Source organism: Homo sapiens, chromosome 3 (genome assembly GCF_000001405.40).
Source record: "Homo sapiens chromosome 3, GRCh38.p14 Primary Assembly".
NCBI classification, from domain to species: Eukaryota; Metazoa; Chordata; class Mammalia; order Primates; family Hominidae; genus Homo; species Homo sapiens.
Window position 1 is genome coordinate 171,923,922 of NC_000003.12, and position 19,760 is coordinate 171,943,681.

At 40.6% G+C, this 19,760-nt stretch overlaps 2 long non-coding RNA genes across 2 annotated transcripts in view, besides 1 other annotated feature; both read left to right on the forward strand.

Moving 5' to 3' along the window:
• LOC105374218 (uncharacterized) overlaps window positions 1–14,722 on the forward strand; it is a 38,180-nt gene extending 23,458 nt beyond the window's left edge. The window contains exons 3-4 of the long non-coding RNA XR_924719.2: window positions 3,199–3,239; window positions 14,117–14,722. This is a non-coding gene — a long non-coding RNA (uncharacterized LOC105374218). The remainder of the gene's footprint in view (window positions 1–3,198; window positions 3,240–14,116) is intronic.
• Window positions 14,398–14,692: a silencer, noted in NCBI's record as "tiled region #13471; HepG2 Repressive non-DNase unmatched - State 23:Low". NCBI's record gives its function as "represses a minimal TATA promoter and a strong SV40 promoter by Sharpr-MPRA in HepG2 cells {active_cell/tissue: HepG2}" and the evidence as "EXISTENCE:reporter gene assay evidence [ECO:0000049][PMID:27701403]".
• LOC105374217 (uncharacterized) overlaps window positions 14,968–19,760 on the forward strand; it is a 44,277-nt gene continuing 39,484 nt past the window's right edge. Inside the window, exon 1 of the long non-coding RNA XR_924718.4 lies at window positions 14,968–18,661. This is a non-coding gene — a long non-coding RNA (uncharacterized LOC105374217). The remainder of the gene's footprint in view (window positions 18,662–19,760) is intronic.

Below are 19,760 nucleotides of genomic sequence, written 5' to 3' on the forward strand. Positions count from 1 at the left end.
AGTGCTAGCCAGAGCAATCAGACAAGAGAAAGAAATAAAGGGCAACGAAATTGGTAAAGAGGAAGTTAAACTGTTACTGTTTGCTGATGATATGATTGTATACCTAGAAAACCCTAAAGATTCCTCCAAAAAGCTCCTAAAACTGATAAATGAATACAGCAAAGTTTCAGGATACAAAATTAATATACACGAATCAGTAGCTCTGCTATACAGCAACAGTGACCAAGCTGAGAATCATATCAAGAACTCAACCCCTTTTATAATAGCTGCAAAAATAAAAAATAAAATACTTAGGAATATACCTAACTAAGGAGGTATATTGCCCTATACAAGGAAAGCTACAAAGTACTGCTGAAAGAAGTCATGGATGACACAAACAAAAGGAAACACATCCCATGCTCATGGATGGATAGAATCAATATTGTGAAAATGATCATACTGCCAAAAGCAATCTACAAATTCAATGCAATTCCCATCAAAATATCACCATCATTCTTCACAGAACTATAAAAAAAAATCCTAAAATTCATATGGAACCAAAAAAAGCCTGCACAGCCAAAGCAAGACTTGGCAAAAAGAACAAATCTGAAGGCATCACATTATCTGATTTCAAACTATACTATCAAACCATAGTTACCAAAACAACATGGTACTAGTATAAAAGTAGGCACATAGACCAATGGAACAGAATAGAGAACCCAGAAATAAACCCAAATATTTACAGGCAACTGATCTTGGACAAAGAAAACAAAAACATAAAGTGGGGAAAGGACACCCTATTCAACAAGTGGTGCTGGGATAATTGTCAAGCCACATGTAGAAGAATAAAACTGGATCTTCATTTCTCACCTTATACAAAAATCAACTCAAGATGGATCAAGGGCTTAAATCTAAGACCTGAAACTATAAAAATTCTAGAAGATAACATCAGAAAAACTCTTCTAGACATTGGCTTGGCAAAGATTTTGTGGCCAAGAACCCAAAAGCAAATGCAACAGAAACGAAAATAAATGGGGCTTAATTAAACTGAAGAGCTTTTGCACAGCAAAAGGAACAGTCAGCAGAATAAACAAACAATCCACAGAATGGGAGAAAATCTTCACAATCTATACATCAGACAAAGTACTAATATCCAGAATCTACAAAACTCAAACAAATTAGCAAGAAAAAAACAAACAATCCCATCAAAAAGCAGGCTAAGGACATGAGTAGACAGTTCTCAAAAGAAGATATACAAATGGCCAAGAAACACATGAAAAAATGCTGAATATCACTAATGATCAGGGAAAAGCAAATTGAAACCACAATGCAATACCACCTTACTCCCACAAAAATGGCCATAATCAAGTAATCAAAAAATAATAGACATTGGCATGGATGCGGTGGAAAGGGAACACTTCTACACTGCTGGTGGGAATATAAACTAGTACAGCCACTATGGAAAACATTGTGGAGATTCCTTAAAGAACTAAAAGTAGATCTACCATTTGATCCAGCAATCCCACTACTAGGTATCTACCCAGCAGAAAAGAAGTCATTATATGAAAAAGACACTTGCACGTGCATGTCTATAGCAGCACAATTCACAATTACGATAATGTGGAACCAAGGACACATACAGTGGCTCATGCCTGTAATCCCAGCACTATGGGTAGCCGAGACAGGTGGATCACCTGAGGTCAGGAGTTTGAGACCAGCCTGGCCAACATGGTGAAACCCTGTCTCTATTAAAAATACAAAAATTAGCTGGGCATGGTGGCAGGCGCCTGTAGTCCCAGCTACATGGGAGGCTGAGGCAGGAGAATCTCTTGAACCTGGGAGGTGGAGGTTGCAGTGAACCAAGATGGTGCCACTGCACTCCAGCCTTGGTGACAAAGCAAGACTCCATCTCAAAAAAAAAAGAAAAAGTGGAACCAGCCCAAATGCCCATCAATCAACAAGTGGATAAAAAGCTGTGGTGTATATATATATGATGGAATACTACTCAGCTATAAAAAGGAATGAATTAGTGGCATTTGCAGCAACCTGGATGGGACTAGAGACTATTATTCTAAGTGAAGTAACTCAGGAATGGAAAACCAAACATTGTATGTTCTCACTCATAAGTGGGAGATAAGCTATGAGGTTGCAAAGGCCTAAGAATGATACAATGGACTTCGGGGACTCAGCAGGAAAGGGTAGGAAGGCAGTGAGGGATAAAAGACTACAAATTGGGTTCAGTGTATATTGCTAGAGTGATGGGTGCATCAAATCACCATTAAGGATCTTACTCATGTAACTAAATACCACCTGTTCCCCAAAAACCTGTGGAAATGAACAATTTTAAAAAGTCTTTTTAAATCCTTTGATAATATATATGTATCCCTCCCTCACCCCCCCCCCCAAAAAAAAAGAATGAGATCCTATCATTTGCAATAACATAGATGAAACTGGAGGTCATTATGTTACGTGAAATAAGTCAGGCACAGAAAGACGAATTTCACATGTTCTCACTTATTTGTAGGAGCTAAAAACAGATAGAGAGTAGAAAGATGGTTACTAAGAGGCTGGAGAAGGGTAGTAGGGAAGTGGGATGAAAGTGCAGATGACTAATGGGTTTGAAAAAAATCTAACTAATAAATAAGATCCAGTATTTGATAGCACAACAGAGTGATTATAGTCAATAATAATTTAATTTTGCATATTAAAATAACTAAAAGAGTATGGACTGTTTGCAACACAAAGGATAAATGTTGGAGGTAATGGAGTCTCTATTTCCCATGACATGATTATTACGCATTGCATATGTATATCAAAATATCTCATGTACTCTATAAATATATATACCTACTATGTACCCACAAAAATTAAAAATTAAATTTGTTTTAAAAAGGGAAGCCAGATAAGACAGAGATGCCGTTGGAGAGATATGTGATGCAGAATACAGAGAATGAACAAATGGAAGTGAAGCAATACTTAAGACCACAAATAAAGAAATCAATTATAAGCCGAAGATACCTTTTAATCTGCAGATCAAAATAGCTTTCTAGATAGCAGGAAAATAATAAATGAAAAATCTGCACCTAGGCATATCCCGATGGAAGTCTGAATTTCAAGGTAAAAGAAAGACTCCTGTAAAAAGCCAGGCAGAAAAAAATTTCTTTTACCTGCAAAGGAAGGAAAATAATTTTGTCTCACACTTCTTCCTTCCTTTATTAGATCCCTGAATCCAACGGAGCTGCATCTACAGAATGAAAAAGGTAAAGGGGCAGAAGAGCACATCACCTCACGGACATCACGGGGTCTAGAGGTGGTGGCTGTGCACGTGTTTGGAAAAAGAGTGATGCTTCCTTTCTTGATGGAATCATTGCATTCTTAAATTTCCTGATAGTCATTGCCACTTAAATTTCTAAGTAAAAAGTTAGAAGATGGAGATATGTGACCACTTGCTAGAAAATCCAAATGATTTCTTCTAGCTATTAGGCGGTCCATTACACCTACAGGGCAAGAATGAGTGACTGGAAATTAACAAACACCCTGTCAGGACACCACTAAAACCCTTTACCTTAGAGGGGTTTCACCAAACCAAGTCCAGAACAGTGGCGATAACACCATGGACTTGAAAGATGTGAGCGGGAGTGCTTGTCCAATTTCTGAGCCAGTCTCTCTCACCTGCCATTTCATTATAAGTCAATATTGAGCAAGGATAGAAGTTAATTTAGATCAAGAGTCTATCATGGGGTCCACAGGCCTTCATGTAGACATCACAGGGCTTTGAGCAGTTTGTCTATGAAGTTATATGCAAATGTTATCATGTGACCATTAATTAAGTTCTCAACGGGGTCTATAATCCAGAAAAGACCCAGAACCAATATTTACTGCTTTATAAACACCCAAACTGAGAACATATTACAGAAAAAAAATTATTCAGGTCACTCGCTAAAGAACAATAAGGAATCGTCTATTCAAGGGAGGTGCTATACAATGGAGTTTTGTAGTAGTGACGAGATATATGGCTCAGATCAGAATATGACACGGAAAAGTGGGAATTTATAGCCAAGGAGCTGAGTGCAGGTCAGTAGGTAGAAAATTACTAAGAGGAAACATCAGAGGCAAGGGAACATTCTGACTGAAACCAATCTAACAGGAATCTTGCTAAAGGCAGGACGAGATGATTAGATATCACCTGGGAGATGGTGGAGGATGAGGAACCCAGTCAGGTATCATGGGTCATCACCTATTGAGAATAGAGGATCCTTGATAAACTGACAACAGAATTCTTGCTAAAATTGGACAATGCAGAGATGAACACGGAAGTCCAAAAGTCAGGGCCTGGTGGAGAAGAGAGTTCGAAGGAGTCTGACTAAATTTTGATCAAGGCAAGGCTCCGTTAAACATAAATGAAACCACAGTAAAATGCAAAAGACTAGCTTATGCATAATCGGTGGAAATGTATTCTGATAATAATAGCAAGACATTGTAAGGGATTTCTCATGTATATGTTCAACAAAATTCAAAGGAAGTTGGTATTTATAAAACTAGAGCAAGTGCCCACAAAAAAGAAACATCCTGAAATAAGAAGGAGATTGTATGGAAAACACAACAGCAGAATTATAAATCTTGTCAAAGGCAACAGACAGCAGATTGACAACCACAGAAAACAAAATTAACACATAAGAATATAAGCCAGGCATGGTGGCTTCCACTTGTAATCTCAGCACTTTGGGAGGCCAAGGCAGGAGGATTGCTTAAGCCCAGGAGTTTGAGACTAGCCTGGGCAACACAGGAGTTTGAGACCAGCCGGGCAACATAGGGTGACCCAGTCCCTACAGGAAAATTAAAAATTAACCAGGTGTGGTGGTACACACCTGTAGTCCTAGCTACTTGGGAGGCTAAGGTGGGAACATCACTTGAGCCCAAGTGATTGAGGCTGCAGTGAGCTATTTTCATGTCACTGCACTCCAGCTAGGTGACAGAGAGAGATTCTGTCTCAGGAAAAAAAAGGGGGGGAGAAAAAAGAAAAATATGAGAGAGGATCCAAGAATTCCAGTGCTACAGACTGAATGTTTGTGTCTCCCCAAATTCATTTATGGAACCCTAACCCCCGAGGTGATGGCATTATGAGGTGGAGCCTTTGGTATGTGAGTAAGTCATGAAGGCAGCACCATCATAGGATTAGTGTATGAAATAAGACCCAGAAAGACCTCTTCCCCCTTCCACCACATGAGGACACAGGGAGAAGAATTTTTTTTTAGACGGAGTTTCACTCTTGTTACCCAGGCTGGAGTGCTGTGGCACAATCTCCGCTCACTGCAACCTCCTCCTCCTGGGTTCAAGCGATTCTCCCGGCTCAGCCTCCCGAATAGCTGGGATTACAGGCATGCGCCACCACGCCCTGCTGATTTTGTATTTTTAGTAGAGACAGGGTTTCTCCATGTTGGTCAGGCTGGTCTCGATCTCCCGACCTCAGGTGATCTTCCCGCCTGGGCCTCCCAAAGTGCTGGGATTACAGGCGTGAGCCACCGCACCCTGGCAGGAGAAGAAATTTATGAACAAGGAAACAGCCCCTCACCAGATATCCAAACTATGGGCACCTTGATCTTGGACTTCCAGTATCCATAAATACTGGAATAAGAAAGAGATTGTACGGAAAACACAAGTATATTTCTGTTGTTTATAAGCCACCCAGTTTATGGCATTTTGTTGTAGCAGCCCAAACAGACTAAGATATCCAATCAACAAGTTCTAAGGATCCAAGAAAGAAAAAATAGAATGAATGTGATGAAAGCAATATTCAAATAAACAATAGAGGGAAATTGCTGAGCTTATAAAATTAAAGGTTATCAGGCAGAATTAATGAAGAGATATTAGCACCTGACATATCCTGTTGAATGTTTCAAGATTTAAGGAAAACAAAAAAAAAATTCTATAAATGTCCAGATAGGAAAACACAGTTTATGTCTTAAGCAGTATTCCATGGCTTTGACTACACATTAAAATCATTGGTTGAGCCTTTAAAAAATAATGGGTCTGGCCAGGCATGGTGGCTCACGCCTGTAATCCCAGCACTTTGGGAGGCTGAGGTGGGTGGATCACAAGGTCAGGAGTTTGAGACCAGCCTGGCCAACATGCTGAAACCCCATGTCTACTTAAAATACAAAAGTTAGCTGGGTGTGGTGGCGCACACCTGTAACCTCAGCTACTCTGGAGGCTGAGGCAGGAGAATTACTTAAACCAGGGAGCGGAAGTTCCAGTGAGCCGAGATCGCACCACTGCACCCCAGCCTGGGCGACAGCAAGACTCTGTCTTGAAAAATAATAATAAATAAAAAATTTAATTTAATTTAAATTTAAAAAATAACGTGTCTGGACCCCATCCTTAGATATTCTGATTTAATTATCCTGGGAAGGAGCTTGGGCACTGAGATTTCTAAAAAATCTCCCCCAGTGGTTTGAATGTGCAGCCAGAATTGAGAACCACTAACCTAAATGAAGAGTAACTATAGATCTATCCCCCAGATAACTAAATAGCAGCAGTAAACTGGCTTCCACACTGGGAAGGAAAAGAATTTAGAATTATATACTCAGTTAGACACGGTGACACACACTTGAGTCTCAGATACTCAGGAGGCTGGGGCAGGAGGGTGGCTTGAGCTCAGGGGTTCAAGGCTGTAGTAGTACACAATGACCGTGCCAGTGAGTGGCCACTGCACTCCAGCCTGGACAACATAGAGAGACTCTATGTCTTAAGAAAAAAAAAAGAGAGAGAGAGAGAGAGAAATTATGTTCTTAGTCAAAAGGTTGTTTGTAGGAAAGACCAACATTCTTCTTTAAACCAGTGCTCAGAAAGTATCATCCTCACAGTTTAGTGATACAATCCAGCCTACCTAGGGAAAGATCAAGATAAAGAACTCAAGAATTAGGACATCATACCATAAAGAGATACTAGGAAGAAATGGAAACTAGTTAAACCTACAATAAAGTCTTAAGAACTGTCGTGAATCTAAGCACAAAACAAAATAAATTTCAAAAATAAGTCTTGAAGAAAAGTTAATAATGTAAAACAACAATAATAAGTTAGGTCTATATCCCAGATTACTTCAATCAAAATTGTGAAGTGGGATGAGACAGTCCGGACAATAAAAGCCTGCAAGGTTTCTCATTACACACAGACAGTAGTTAATAGATACAGTTACGTTATTGGCTTTGATAAACAGAGATAAAATTATTTCAAAATGCTTTTAATAACAAAAAGATAATCGCTGAAAGAAAATATGTAATTATATTTTCCAAACTACTACAGAAATAAGAGCTGAGAAAATATAGTTAATGGGAAAACAACCAGATATCAAAACCATCATGCAATATTATCCTGTTCTATTATATGTATGCATAATATGTATAGAAAAATTAAAAAATGAAACACTCCCAAATTGTAACAGTGCGTCTCTAACAGGTTAGAATTATCAGGTTTGTGGTTTGTTTTCTTATTAATGTGTTTCAATTTTTTCTAAATATCCTACAATCAGAATGCTCTTTTTATAATTTAAAAAAAATCAATAAATATTACATTTTTAAGTTATCCCCTTTATCTTCTATGCATTTTCATAGTGCTTATTTGATACAAAGAATAAAAGTCGAGTTTCTTAATGTGCTAATCTTAGCAATTATAGGATTTTTTAAAGTCCAATCTGACATAATTTTAGAGACTAAACACCTACGAATACTATAAAGGTGTTTCTATTAATATTTTTAATAAGTCACTTCCTGGAAGTAACATGTTCATGTAAAATCTTGCCAAAAACAAGAATATTAAAGTATGTTCTGCATGAAGAAGAAATCTACATCACAAGTACATTAGAAGCACTTTTTAGGAAGTAGAAAATATGAAACCAGAAAAACTCGGTAAAATGTGCTTGCAACTATAAATTCTGTAATTAGTTTGCTCTACAAGGAAGATACTAGGAGACACCAGTTGGAGATACTAGTTGACATCCTCGATTTGCTTTTTATTCAGTCAAAACATAAAAGCATGCATTACTCATGGCCAGATTATAGTCTAAAAGTATTTTCATCTAACTATCCAATTTTGAGTGAAAAAAAGAAACCAACACAAAATCATGTTGTCCTTTAATTTCACTTTAGGCATTCCTTCCTTTTGCCCCAGCACAAAATTCAGGATTGTGTTTATTCCGTGAGGGTACTAATGGAGTCACATTAATGATCCAAACCCAAATTCTATGGGCCCTCACTCACCCCGCCTGCATCTGCAGGACCTCAGTTGCCTGTGCCCCTCATGTAGGTCGAGTTGGCCTTGGAGAGGTGTGGTATGTGCTCATGAAGCGCTCTCCCTCTGCTTGTGCTACTCCTGTTGTGTCATTATCCACTGGACCGCCACTGCAGGCTGCCGTATCTGTGGGTCCCACTGTCTCCGTGATAGCAGAGGCAACAAAGCCATTTATGTCAAGAGCTAAAAGTTGCAAGATGTTGTACTGGGAAGTGGGCGAGAATGCTTCGTTCCTCTCTTGCCATTGTACAGCCAGCCAGTTCTGCTTCAGCACGGCAAATGAAGCTGCTCTTGGTTTTTCTTTCTGATAGCCCTGAGCTTTCTCTCTCTCTCTGTGGTATCAAAGATCATTCCAGTGGGATTTGGGCTTGGAGTTAAATCTAAGTGATTTAACAGCCACATGCTAAACTCGGAACTGTCCCTCCCCTCCAAAGTCTAAAGTTTCTTATTGCCGACTCTTTTTTTCCCTTACAGTGAGGTCTCTCCCACAACACCTCTCAGCCCATCTCCAAGTTGTTTTCTGGTAGGTTCTGTCTACTTAGACTCAAACTGGAGCTTCTGTTGAACTCATATTGTCCAAAGAGACCAAATTCTCCAAACAAAGGAATGTTTAATAAGCTTTGCATTGAATCAAGATTACTTTAATGTGTTTGCTGTAAGTAAATATAAATCTGTTCTTTTAAAAATAACACATTATTAAGCCACTGATTCAATCATCAGCAGGCTCAAGAGGTTAAGTGGAATCAGCTAAGGCAATTGATAGCACCATAGATCTCTTTTATATGAGAGTAATTCAGGAGAAGTTCTCATTAAGCATCAAGGAGAAAAAGTTATTATTGCCGGGTGTGGTGGTTCTCGCCCGTAATCCCAGCACTTTGAGAGGCCGAGGCAGGTGGATCACCTGAGGTGGGGAGTTCGAGATCAGCCTGACCAACATGGAGAAACCCCGTCTCTACTAAAAATATAAAAACTTAGCCGGGCATGGTGATGCATGCCTGTAATCCCAGCTACTCGGGAGGCTGAGGCAGGAGAATCGCTTGAACTTGGGAGGCAGAAGTTGCAGTGAGCCAAGATTGTGCCGTTGCACTCCAGCCTGGGCAACAAGAGAGAAACTCTGTCTCAAAAAAAAAAAAAAGAAAGAAAAAGTTATTACTGAGGAACAAGTTTGAAAACTGTTCCAGAAAGATGCTCAGTTGGAGAGAATTTGTAAAAATAACAATCACACCATTTGAAGTAAAAGTTGTTTCCTTCTAGAAAAGTTTTGCTTCAGAAGGAGAGCCCATTCAGGAAATAAAAGCATTGGCTACCATGGAACTTTAGGGATGGGCAAGCCACAGATATTCAAGACCTTGTGAGGCTGCAGGATCCTGTCAATCTTTAAGTGATGATGCAGTGTGAATATCTTAGTATGGAAAGACTATGGGGAATTTGATTAATAGAAGACAACTGAAAAACGCTGTGGTTAAGAGAGAACAGTGCTATTTTTCTTAAATCCACATACTTCACAATGTTTCTTTTGTTTGTGTAGGCATTTGTTAACCAACAGCTTCCTTTACCATTTCCAGGGGGTTTTCTAGTTTGGTTTGTTCTCTGTGTTGGTACTCATATATTTATATTGATAACAACCAGTAACTAGCCACATTACTAAAGTACATTTTAAGCCCAGCATGACTTTATTCCCTACTGTGGTAGGCTTGCAGCAGTGGACCAGGTAGCAATCTTCTCCAAAATGGCAGCCAACAGAGAGTGGAGCAGAGCCCAGAGAACAAACCATGAACAAGCCCCTTGGAATGGTGACAAGAATATTTTATTAAAGTTATCCTAGGATAGAAATCCCTAGGATATAAACTCTCAAAAATATAAGCCCTTTGTAAGCTATTATGGTTAAATACCAAGGAAAATATAACTTTAAGATTATAACAACTCATTCAAATACTTACTAATGCCTATTATTTTCTGGGCACTTGGCTAGACCCTGGAAATGTGGTAAGGCATGAGATACTTTCCGGGGTTTGGGAGAGCTTATAACTAGTGGGGGCTCATGATGTGCTTCAAAGAGAGTGGCCTCTTTCCTTCCTCCAGCACACCAAGCTGAGCCCTTCCCTGGAGATTTACCCAAACACATCATCCACTGCTCTGTGAGTAGCTTTCCTCTCGTTGCGTTTTTCAACTCCACTCAAATATCATCTCCTTCGGAGGGGCCTTCCTTGATTCCCACCTACCCATATGCTCGTGGCACTCTCTAAACAACATTTCACTTCAACCTCTTTTTGTCCTTCAAAAATGTGTACAGGTTGCATATCCCTTATTCAGAATGCTGGGGACCAGAAAGGTCTAGGATTTCAGATTTTGTCAGATCTTGGAATATTTGCACTATACCAGTTAAGCATCCCCCGAATCCAAAAGCCAAAATGAGCTTCAATGAGCACTTCCCTTGAGTGTCATGCCAGTGCTCAGAAAGTTTCAGATTTCAGATTTCCCTGTCATGGAACTTCAGGGATGGGCAAGCCACAGATATTCAAGACCTTGAATTTTGTGAACATTTCCGATTTCAGACTTTTGAATCACATTTTTATTGGAATATACATTGTTCATGTGTTTATTATTTGTCTCCTCCCACTAGAATGCAAACTGCATGATGGCAGGACATTTTGTCTGGCTTGCTTACATATATGTGTACCTAGCATCAAGAAAAGCATGCAGGAAGCAACCATGAAGGCTTTGAATGAAAAAATGATGGAAGTTGGATGAATGAATGCAGTAATTAGTGCATTACAATCTAATATGATTATTGCTGTGGTAGCAGAAATATCTGGGCAGCACAGATCTAGGTACTTCATTGTATCTAACAAACAAGGGAGGGGACAAGGAATATTCTAGAGGATACAAAAACATGGACTTAGAAGAGGAGCCATTTTAGGAACTTCACAGGTAGGGAACTGGGGGAAGATGAATGAGAATGGGGGAAGAAGAATGAGAAATGGGCAGATAGCAGAGACCCACCCTGAAGGGATTAGTGAGCCCTGTTAGGGAATTCAGACTTTATTCAAAGGGCAACAGATAGACCTTGAACAATGGCAGGTGTTGGGGGCAGGTTGGGAAGGGAACAGGGAGTGAGGACAAATCTGTTGTAGAATGCTCACCCCAGAAGCACTGTGGAGAATGGAATGGAAGAGACCTGTGAGTCAAGTCAGTAATTCAGGCAAGAATTGATAAGAAATTGAACTAAAGCCAAGGTTATGGGATCAGAATGGAGGGTATGGACTGGGGAGATTATCTGGAGGGAAAATCAATAGCAGAGGGAGGAGTCAGGTTCAATTCTTCAGGCAGCTGCCGTTCCTCAGCCAAGTTCTCCATTTTCCATAGGCACTCCCCAGGGCCGCAGCTATGTTTTCTGGAGGCCATACTGAGGCTAGGGGTGCACTTCCCAGATCACCCTGATCGCCACATGCTCCAGGAAGATAGCCTTGCAGGTCAACCACTGCTGTTCGAGGCAGAAAACATGGTCTCTTGTGTTTTGGGCCACTTGTCAGCTCTAGCCCAGGGCACTTATATTCTGATATATATGGTAGGGTAGGATTTCAAAAGCTTTTCTCCTCTTTCTGATCAAAATCTCTTTTAGATAAGGATATCTGTCCACATCTACACTTATCTAAAAGCATTTGGCAAAGCCCAAATATGTGCTGGGCTCTGGGGGAAAGAACCCTGGCCCTCAAACATTCTGTGATTTACTGAAGGAGACAAACAAAAAGACAATTAGAATGCACTGAGGATAGTATTGCAATGGAAGCACTCAAACAAAAAGTAGAAAGCGAATACCCCTAATCTAAAGATGAGTTTGGAAAGAGGGTTACGGGTCTTGGATCAGTAAGAGATAAGAACACTTCCTCAAAGAGAAAAGCAACTCCTAACTAAAAGACAATAAACGAACCTTAAAAAAATAATGTCAGCTCAGGTATAAATAAATGCAAGTGCATTAAAAGCAGCCACAGTTAATAGGTAATGTTTATCGAGTGCATGAAACGTGCCAGAAGTTATGGGTCTTGTATGTTTTTTTCTCATTTCATCCTCATACCAACCTTATGAGGTAGTACCACTTTTCGAGTTTTACAGACGAGAAAGCTGAGGCTCAGCAAGGTTGCATACTTTACCCCAGGTCACCCAATAGTAGTAGAGCAGGGAATCACACCTGGGCAGTCTGAGTACAGAGTTCCTAACTGGAATGTGGCCCTGTCCTTCACAGTTAGTGCCATTTGTCTACCCATCCATTGTCCCTGGTCTCATACAGTACAGAATAGGAATTCAATTCAGAGTTGCCTGAGCCCAGGGCTTCTGCACTTTCACACAGCTAAGTCTTCAGGCTGGATGTATACTCACCATGGAGAAAAAGAATGAGGAAATACTCTCATAGAAAATGCACTTTGCCTTCATTTTCAGCTTTGTCTCAACTCTCTAAGGGATGGGCCAATTCCCACTTCCTGCCTAAGTGCCTCAGTTTCACAAGGGAGTTTGTCAGAGGTTATTAGGCGTAGGCAGGGGAAGGCAGCCTGGGGAGGCTGACTCATCTCCGTACACCACTAAGCATCTTGCCCAGTGGATACTGAGGAAGCTGGTGTCACCCAATGGGCAGTCTTCTCAAGGAATCTTTGCCTGTAAATGCTATAAGATCAAATACATACTTTTCTTCAAAAACAGTTATTTGAAAGTTGAATTGTTATATTGTTTATGAAAGACTGGAAGATTTGGGAGGCCGAGGTGGGTGGATCACTTGAGGTCAGGAGTTCAAGACCAGCCTGGCCAAGATGGTGAAACCCCATCTCTACTAAAAATACAAAAATTAGCCGGGCGTGGGATTAGCAGGCACCTGTAATCCCAGGTACTCGGGAGTCTGAGGCAGAAGAGTCGCTTGCACCCGGGGGGCAGAGGTTGCAGTGAGCCGAGATTGCACTTCAGCCTGGGCGACAGAATGAGACTCCATCTCAAAAAAGAAAAAAAGACTGGAGGATTAGCCAGTATTTATGTTGAGATTTTTCAATATTTAGCTATCAGCCTCCCAAGGACCTGCTAATCTCAGTAATGGAAGTCATGTTACCATTGATGGTCATATTTCACAAACTCCTTCTTGCATAAGTGCAAGACCTAGGTCTTTTCCCCACCTCAAAGGTGCCTGCATTATTTTTATGGGAGTCTGGGATGTCTCACATAGTCTCCTGACAATCCTTTTCCTCTGAGGCCTCCAGAATTCAGAACCATGGCTTCTGTTCCCCTGGGTGAGAGCAGCTTTCATGTCCCTTCCTGCCACTTCCCTCAAAGGCACAAATGAGCTGTGTTTCCTTCAAGCCTCCCTCTGTCAGAAACCTGGCTCTTTCCCATCTCCACATCTCTCCCTTACACCTCGCCATCAGGGAGGGCCCTGAACCAGCACTGCTTGTGTCATGAGTCTCAGGAAGTTGTTTGAAAAAAAGACACCTTCAGGGTTACATCCAGCCCTCTCTCTCTCCATGGAACTCAGACTTGGAAGAGATTCCAGGATTCCTTCCCCATCCCCCTCCAATCTCCCTCCCAGGCACCTGCACCCACAAGTACACACTCCTTCGCTCTCAGGCTTATTAACTCATCCAAGGTGGAGTTTCTCTCAAAGTGGGGACCCAGTTTGGGCCCACGTGATACCTTCTTTAATAAACATGGTCAAGTTAAAATTATTAAGGAGATACTAGAGTATCTCTAGTAGGGTAAGGCTGTCACATGATGAGAAAATAAAGGGATATAACATCAAGAAAATTACCTCATTTGCAAATTTACTGTTTGCTTTTTCTTTTCTTTCTTTTTTCGTACTTAAAAAAAAATGAAGTCCAAGAAAGACACTTTCTCTCACCTTTTTGGAGCCTCTAGCCTGCCCTGGGAAGCCTGGTGGACTGGTGCTGAGAAGAGACCACGGCCCAGGTAGTTATGCAGCCTGCATGGTTGATGGTAGAAGACCCAGGTGGGGAACAGAAAGACAGGAGTTTGTCACTCACCCTGCAGCTTGAACAAGACACTGAATCTCTGAGCCTTATATTTTGTCTTTATGTTAAAATAGGAATAATTATATCATCCTGATGGGTTGTTTGGGGTCAAAGTAATTATCTATATTTTTGTAAATTGCAAGTTGTTATACTGTTGCTTGCAAAGAAGAACTACAACAGAAGTTTAGTCAGAGGTAAAAATGGAGTAAAGGGAAGGAGCAGGAGGTCGAGAAAAAGAGAGTGGTCTCTTAAGATTGTGAGACATATCAGAAGGTGGCAGGCCTGGGAAGGGAGTCAGTTCAGTGTAGGCCAGAGGAGGTAACCCAGGAGAGAGGAAGAAGCCCCAGCAGACAAGACAAGAAGAGGAGATTAAAGTGATATGAAAGGTGCTAAAGACATCCTCTACTTGGATTGAGTTTTGTTTTTGTTTTTTGTTTTTTGTTTTTGTTTTAGTTGGAGTCCCACTCTGTCGCCCAGGCTGGAGTGCAGTGGCACGATCTCAGCTCACTGCAACCTCCACCTCCCGGGTTCAAGTGATTCTCCTGCCTCAACCACCTGATTAGGCTGGGATTACAGGCGCAATCACCACAGTTGGCTAATTTTTGTATTTTTAGTAGAGACAGGGTTTCACCATGTTGGCCAGGGTGGTCTCGAATGCCTGACCTCAGGTGATCCGCCCACCTCGGCCTCCCAAAGTGCCGGGATTACAGGCTTGAACCATGGCACTCGGCCTGGATTGAGATTTTCTTAATAGTCCTAGATGCTCTTTGAAATGTTCCACTGCTATCTCTGGCATGATATTATAGGTGTTCCTGCCTGGCACACTGCAGAAACCTGAGGTTGGGAGGCTTGTTAGCTGAAACATGTATTGATCTTATATGTATGAATCATTTCCAGTCGGACTCACTAGCCTGAGATTCCCTGGGGTGTGTGTGCACATGCAAGCACACTTACATGTGCAAGACTCAACCCCAAGTCTGAATTACACACGAGTGACAAAGGGAATGCGTCTCCAATTCACCTCTAACTGCTAAGCTCTCTCTCTCCTGTTCTCTTTTTATGCAGCACCCATGGACCCTTCTAGCAGACAGCAACTTTTCTCTTTGACTATAAATTGAAGGCAATTCAATGTTTTACCCCTCAGATCAGGGATCATACTGAAAAATTCCTTCTGCACGAGCCAGTGTGAGCCTGGCAAGAGGCACAGGAGATGGTCACCAAGCTTGATAACGAAAATAAATTGTTTTGAAGAGATCGTTAAAATTATGTTAGTAGGAATTGAATATTCAAGGTTACAGATTTAATTAATTATGAGTGTTTCTTTAGAATAATGTAATAAATGTTTCCTCTGAGGTTTCTGGTTGAAGCACTGGGCCTCATCTCAAGAAAGATTTAAGAGCATAAAGTATTTTAATTGTATAGATTGCAAGAGAGGGCATTTAAAATATGCAGAGTAATTGACACCTTCTCAAACCCCAGATGCAACCCTATTTCTAACTGATAAGGTGATATCCTGGAGCCTCCATACAAGAAGTAGTTTTGCCCAACAAATGGGAGAAGCCCCTTTGACAGCGTGAAATTCCAGTCACGGTGATGTAGCTCTAAGGAATCCCAGGTGAGCCCATTCTCTCACAGCCTGAAAGCAGAACATGCAGCAATGAAAATGTCCAATGCAGCTAGGACTTTTGTCACTCCATCTTTCTCTTTCTGCCTCATCTGAAGGGTAAATGACTTTGTGTTGTGTAAAAACATTTCACACCCCCTGTAAGAAGTGGGAATAAGGAGGCATGGGTAGCAGCAGTGAAGAGGTTTGAATGTCATTCTTTCTCATTTGAATAACTACCTTAAGAGTCCCCTTCTGTAGGAGTTAAGACCTCAAGTTTTATACAAAAGAGCCTTGGTCTGCATGCGATGTCCTCCCAGGCTTAGTTCACATTTTAAGAAAACTTCAGGGTGAGTGTAATTCTTACTATAAAGGAATGAACCAATACTAGTTGAATCTTAGGCACCCGAACAGGCAGTTTGAGAAAGTTGGGTATGATTTCCCTGGCTCCTTTCAAGTCACACCACAAGCAACTGCCTGGCACACAAGACAGACCTCTGTGCATACAGATGCATGTGTGGTGTGTAGTGGGAAGTTTGCTTTGGCTGGTCGTGGAGGGATCCATTTGTCTGGGGAGGTCTGGACAGCCAGTGGAGGCACTGCCTCCCTTGCCATCTTAGCAGCTTTAAGAGGGTGGAGTATTTTTCTTTGAGGCTAAGGTTGGCACAGATAACTTCCTCACCGAAATTTTCTGCCAGACTGAGTTTGGTGGGTTTTTTTTGGTTTGTTTTTTTGTTTTTTTGTTTTTTTTTCATTATTCCACCCACCCCTCACCCCACCCTCCAATCTTTGGTTGTTTCTGGCTTTTTGGCATCTGTTCCCTGGGTCGTATTTTTTCCTTCCTGATGCAGTGGATGCAAAGATACGCTTTCTCTTGGGTGAAATTTACAAGCACATTTTCCTCCTTGACAGAAACAAAGAGCCACAAAGATTTCCTAGGGAGAGAAAAAAGCTTCCAGATGCAGGGCTCCAAATGTGAGGGTTTTTTTCCCTTTGGCATTTTTTAAGCTTAATAATTACACTGGACATATTTATTCAGAAGAAGGCCCACAGTTTTCATCCTAACAGGGACTTCATTAAAATTTCCAAGTAACAAATACATCTTTTCTCTGATGCCTGGGTTCCATGCCATTTACCTCTATCTTAAAGAAGTTACCTCTGAGACCTTGAGTTTCAACTCTGACTAGAGATGCAAGGCGATAGGGAAAGGTCCTTTTTTCCTCTCTTTTTTCTTAGCCATGGTGCAGAATAATAAAAGAAAAGGAATTCCTAAACTCTTGAACTGTTAGCAAACTTCTTTTAATTATCTCTAGTTAAAGGGCAACTGAGAAGACAATTATAAATGTCAAGAAGATTGTTCAACAAACTTTTATAACCCACAGCACACTTTTATATTTTTAAAAGTGATTAAAGCGTTCTAATTGGTATCATTTTCTATTTCAGAATAGTACTTTCCAAGACTTAAAAAAATGCTTCAGTTTATAAGACCTGTAATCTAAAATTTTCACTAACCATAATCAGAATAATGTATGGGAAATACTTAGTTCATATATGGAAAATCATCCACATTTTAAAAAAAAGTTTTGAAGAAACTTTTTAAAAAGTTGTAGCTACTTATGTTTGATTAGAAAAACATTTCTCTTGTGTGTGTTGGTAAAACAGACTAAGTTCTAAGAAATCTTTATGGCTATATATCTTACATCTATTGATAAGCAAGCATGAAGATACTTAATTCAGGTAAAGGGCTTTAGCCCATTTTTATTCTAATGGGAATAATACTAATGTGTATATGAATCCATTTTTGCTGCAGTTGGGCTGGGGCCAGAATGATATTCTGTATTTCTAACGAGCTCCCAGGAGATGCCAATGTTGCCATCCTTGGACCACGCTGAGTAGCGAGAATGCAGAGGACAGCATGTCTACCTTTTCCTGAGCCTCCTTTCAAAGGATGAGATACGGGAATACTGGTATCACACAGCCCCGAGAATCCTGAGGTGGGAGCAGGGGAGGCTGAACCCTCTAGATGTACCCTGAGTATGTTTTTACAGTGGGTTCAAGTATTTTAATCTGCTGTTCAAAAAATACATGAATTCGTCCTCAGTTCAAAGCCATAGGCTAGCTACTGTATGATGTGACACAATTCTGTATAACATAAATACAGTAATCTCATTAAATTTAACATCTGTGCCCTAATCATCACCTCTTTAAGGACTAAAATATTCTCCAGTGTTGTTGCTTTCTCCCCACTGTTTGAGGGAAAAAAAGTAAACCTATAGAAAAGTTGAAAGAATTACATGACAACTTTAAACCCTTCCCCAGATTTACCAATTATTAACATGCTGCTGTGCTTTCTGTCTCTCTCCTTACCCATCTATGTGTGTATATATATGTGTGTATGATAAATATTTATTTAGTTTATTTTCATGTTTTTATCTGAATAATTTAAAAATAAATTGCAGCTCTCCATTGCTTTTTATCATGTTATCATTTGTTTCTGTTAACAAGTTCGGCTGCAAACTGAATTGCTGACTGAGAGTCATGTGTGTGTGCAGGAAACCAAGGTGGCTTGGAGTTTCCCAGACTTTTTAGGTTCACGTTTACAGAGGAGAAAGCAAATGGTGGAAACTCTTGTTTCTCTTTAAAAATCTTTGACAGTTCATCCTTATGTTCTACCCAGTTACCTCACTCCACACTGCCTTTATGATCCCACTAGTGACCACCAAAGAGAGGGAATCTAAGAGAGAAAGCAGAGAATAACTTATTCTGCTAAACCCAACACAAATGAAAGGTGAGTTTGTTTCTTTCTCTGAGAGTTCGTATTTGGCTAATGAATTTTTGGATCTATGCTAAAAAAAGACAAAATCTCAGTCTTATTCCAAAGTGATTAAAATGATGGCCTATGCAAATACACGGTGACATTATGAAAGGGACATGTTAATGATTATTTAATTTATATGTACCTGACGACACCTTTTTATTCCCAAAAGACCAGAAGCTAGCCCCATTAAAAGGTCTCTAAAAGATTATTTCTGAGAGTTTCCCAGAGAACTGGTACTTCACTTATTCACTTAATCAACCGTCATTTAAGTTACCGGCACACAGGATACAAAATGGACAAAATCCATCCTACTCTTATAGAGTGTATACTCCAGCACAGAAAAAGATCCTGTATAATTAATTGACATGATATTGGGAGATTATGATGATGGAAAAAGCCAGTGCCATATATAAAGAGAAGTGCTAATGAATTTTGCCTGGGGCTTGAGCTGGTGTAGTTGTGTGTATAGATATTATGTGTGGGGGATGTGTTGTGGGTACTGGGGGCTCCTCCAGGAACCAGGTCAGCTGTGAAGGTAACCACTTATGCCAGCAGTCTCTGTCAGAGGATAGGTGGTCAAATGAAAGAGTCTCAACATGTAATGTGAGAATCTTACTAAAATGCAGACTATGATTTAAAGGCCAGAGGAGCACCCTGAGAGTCTGTATTTCTAACTAGATCCCAGGTGACACTCAGGTTGCTTTTCCAGGGACAACACTGTGAGTAGCAGAGGTCTGGTAAAATAGGTGGGGATTTTACATCAGAGAGAAGGAAGGGTTTTTTTCTTTTGTTTTTGTTTTTGAGACGAAGTTTCACTCTTGTTGCCGAGGTTGGAGTGCAATGGCGCCATCTGGGCTCGCTGCAACCTCCGCCTCCTGGGTTCAAGCAATTCTCCAGCACTTTGAGAAGGGAGGTGTTTTAGGTTTTTTCGTTTGTTTGTTTGTTTGTTTGTTTTGAGACGGAGTTTCACTCTTTTTGCCCAGGCTGGAGTGCAATGGCACGATCTCCACTCACTGCAGCCTCCACCTCCTGGGTTCAAGTGATTCTCCTGCCTCAGCCTCCCAAGTAG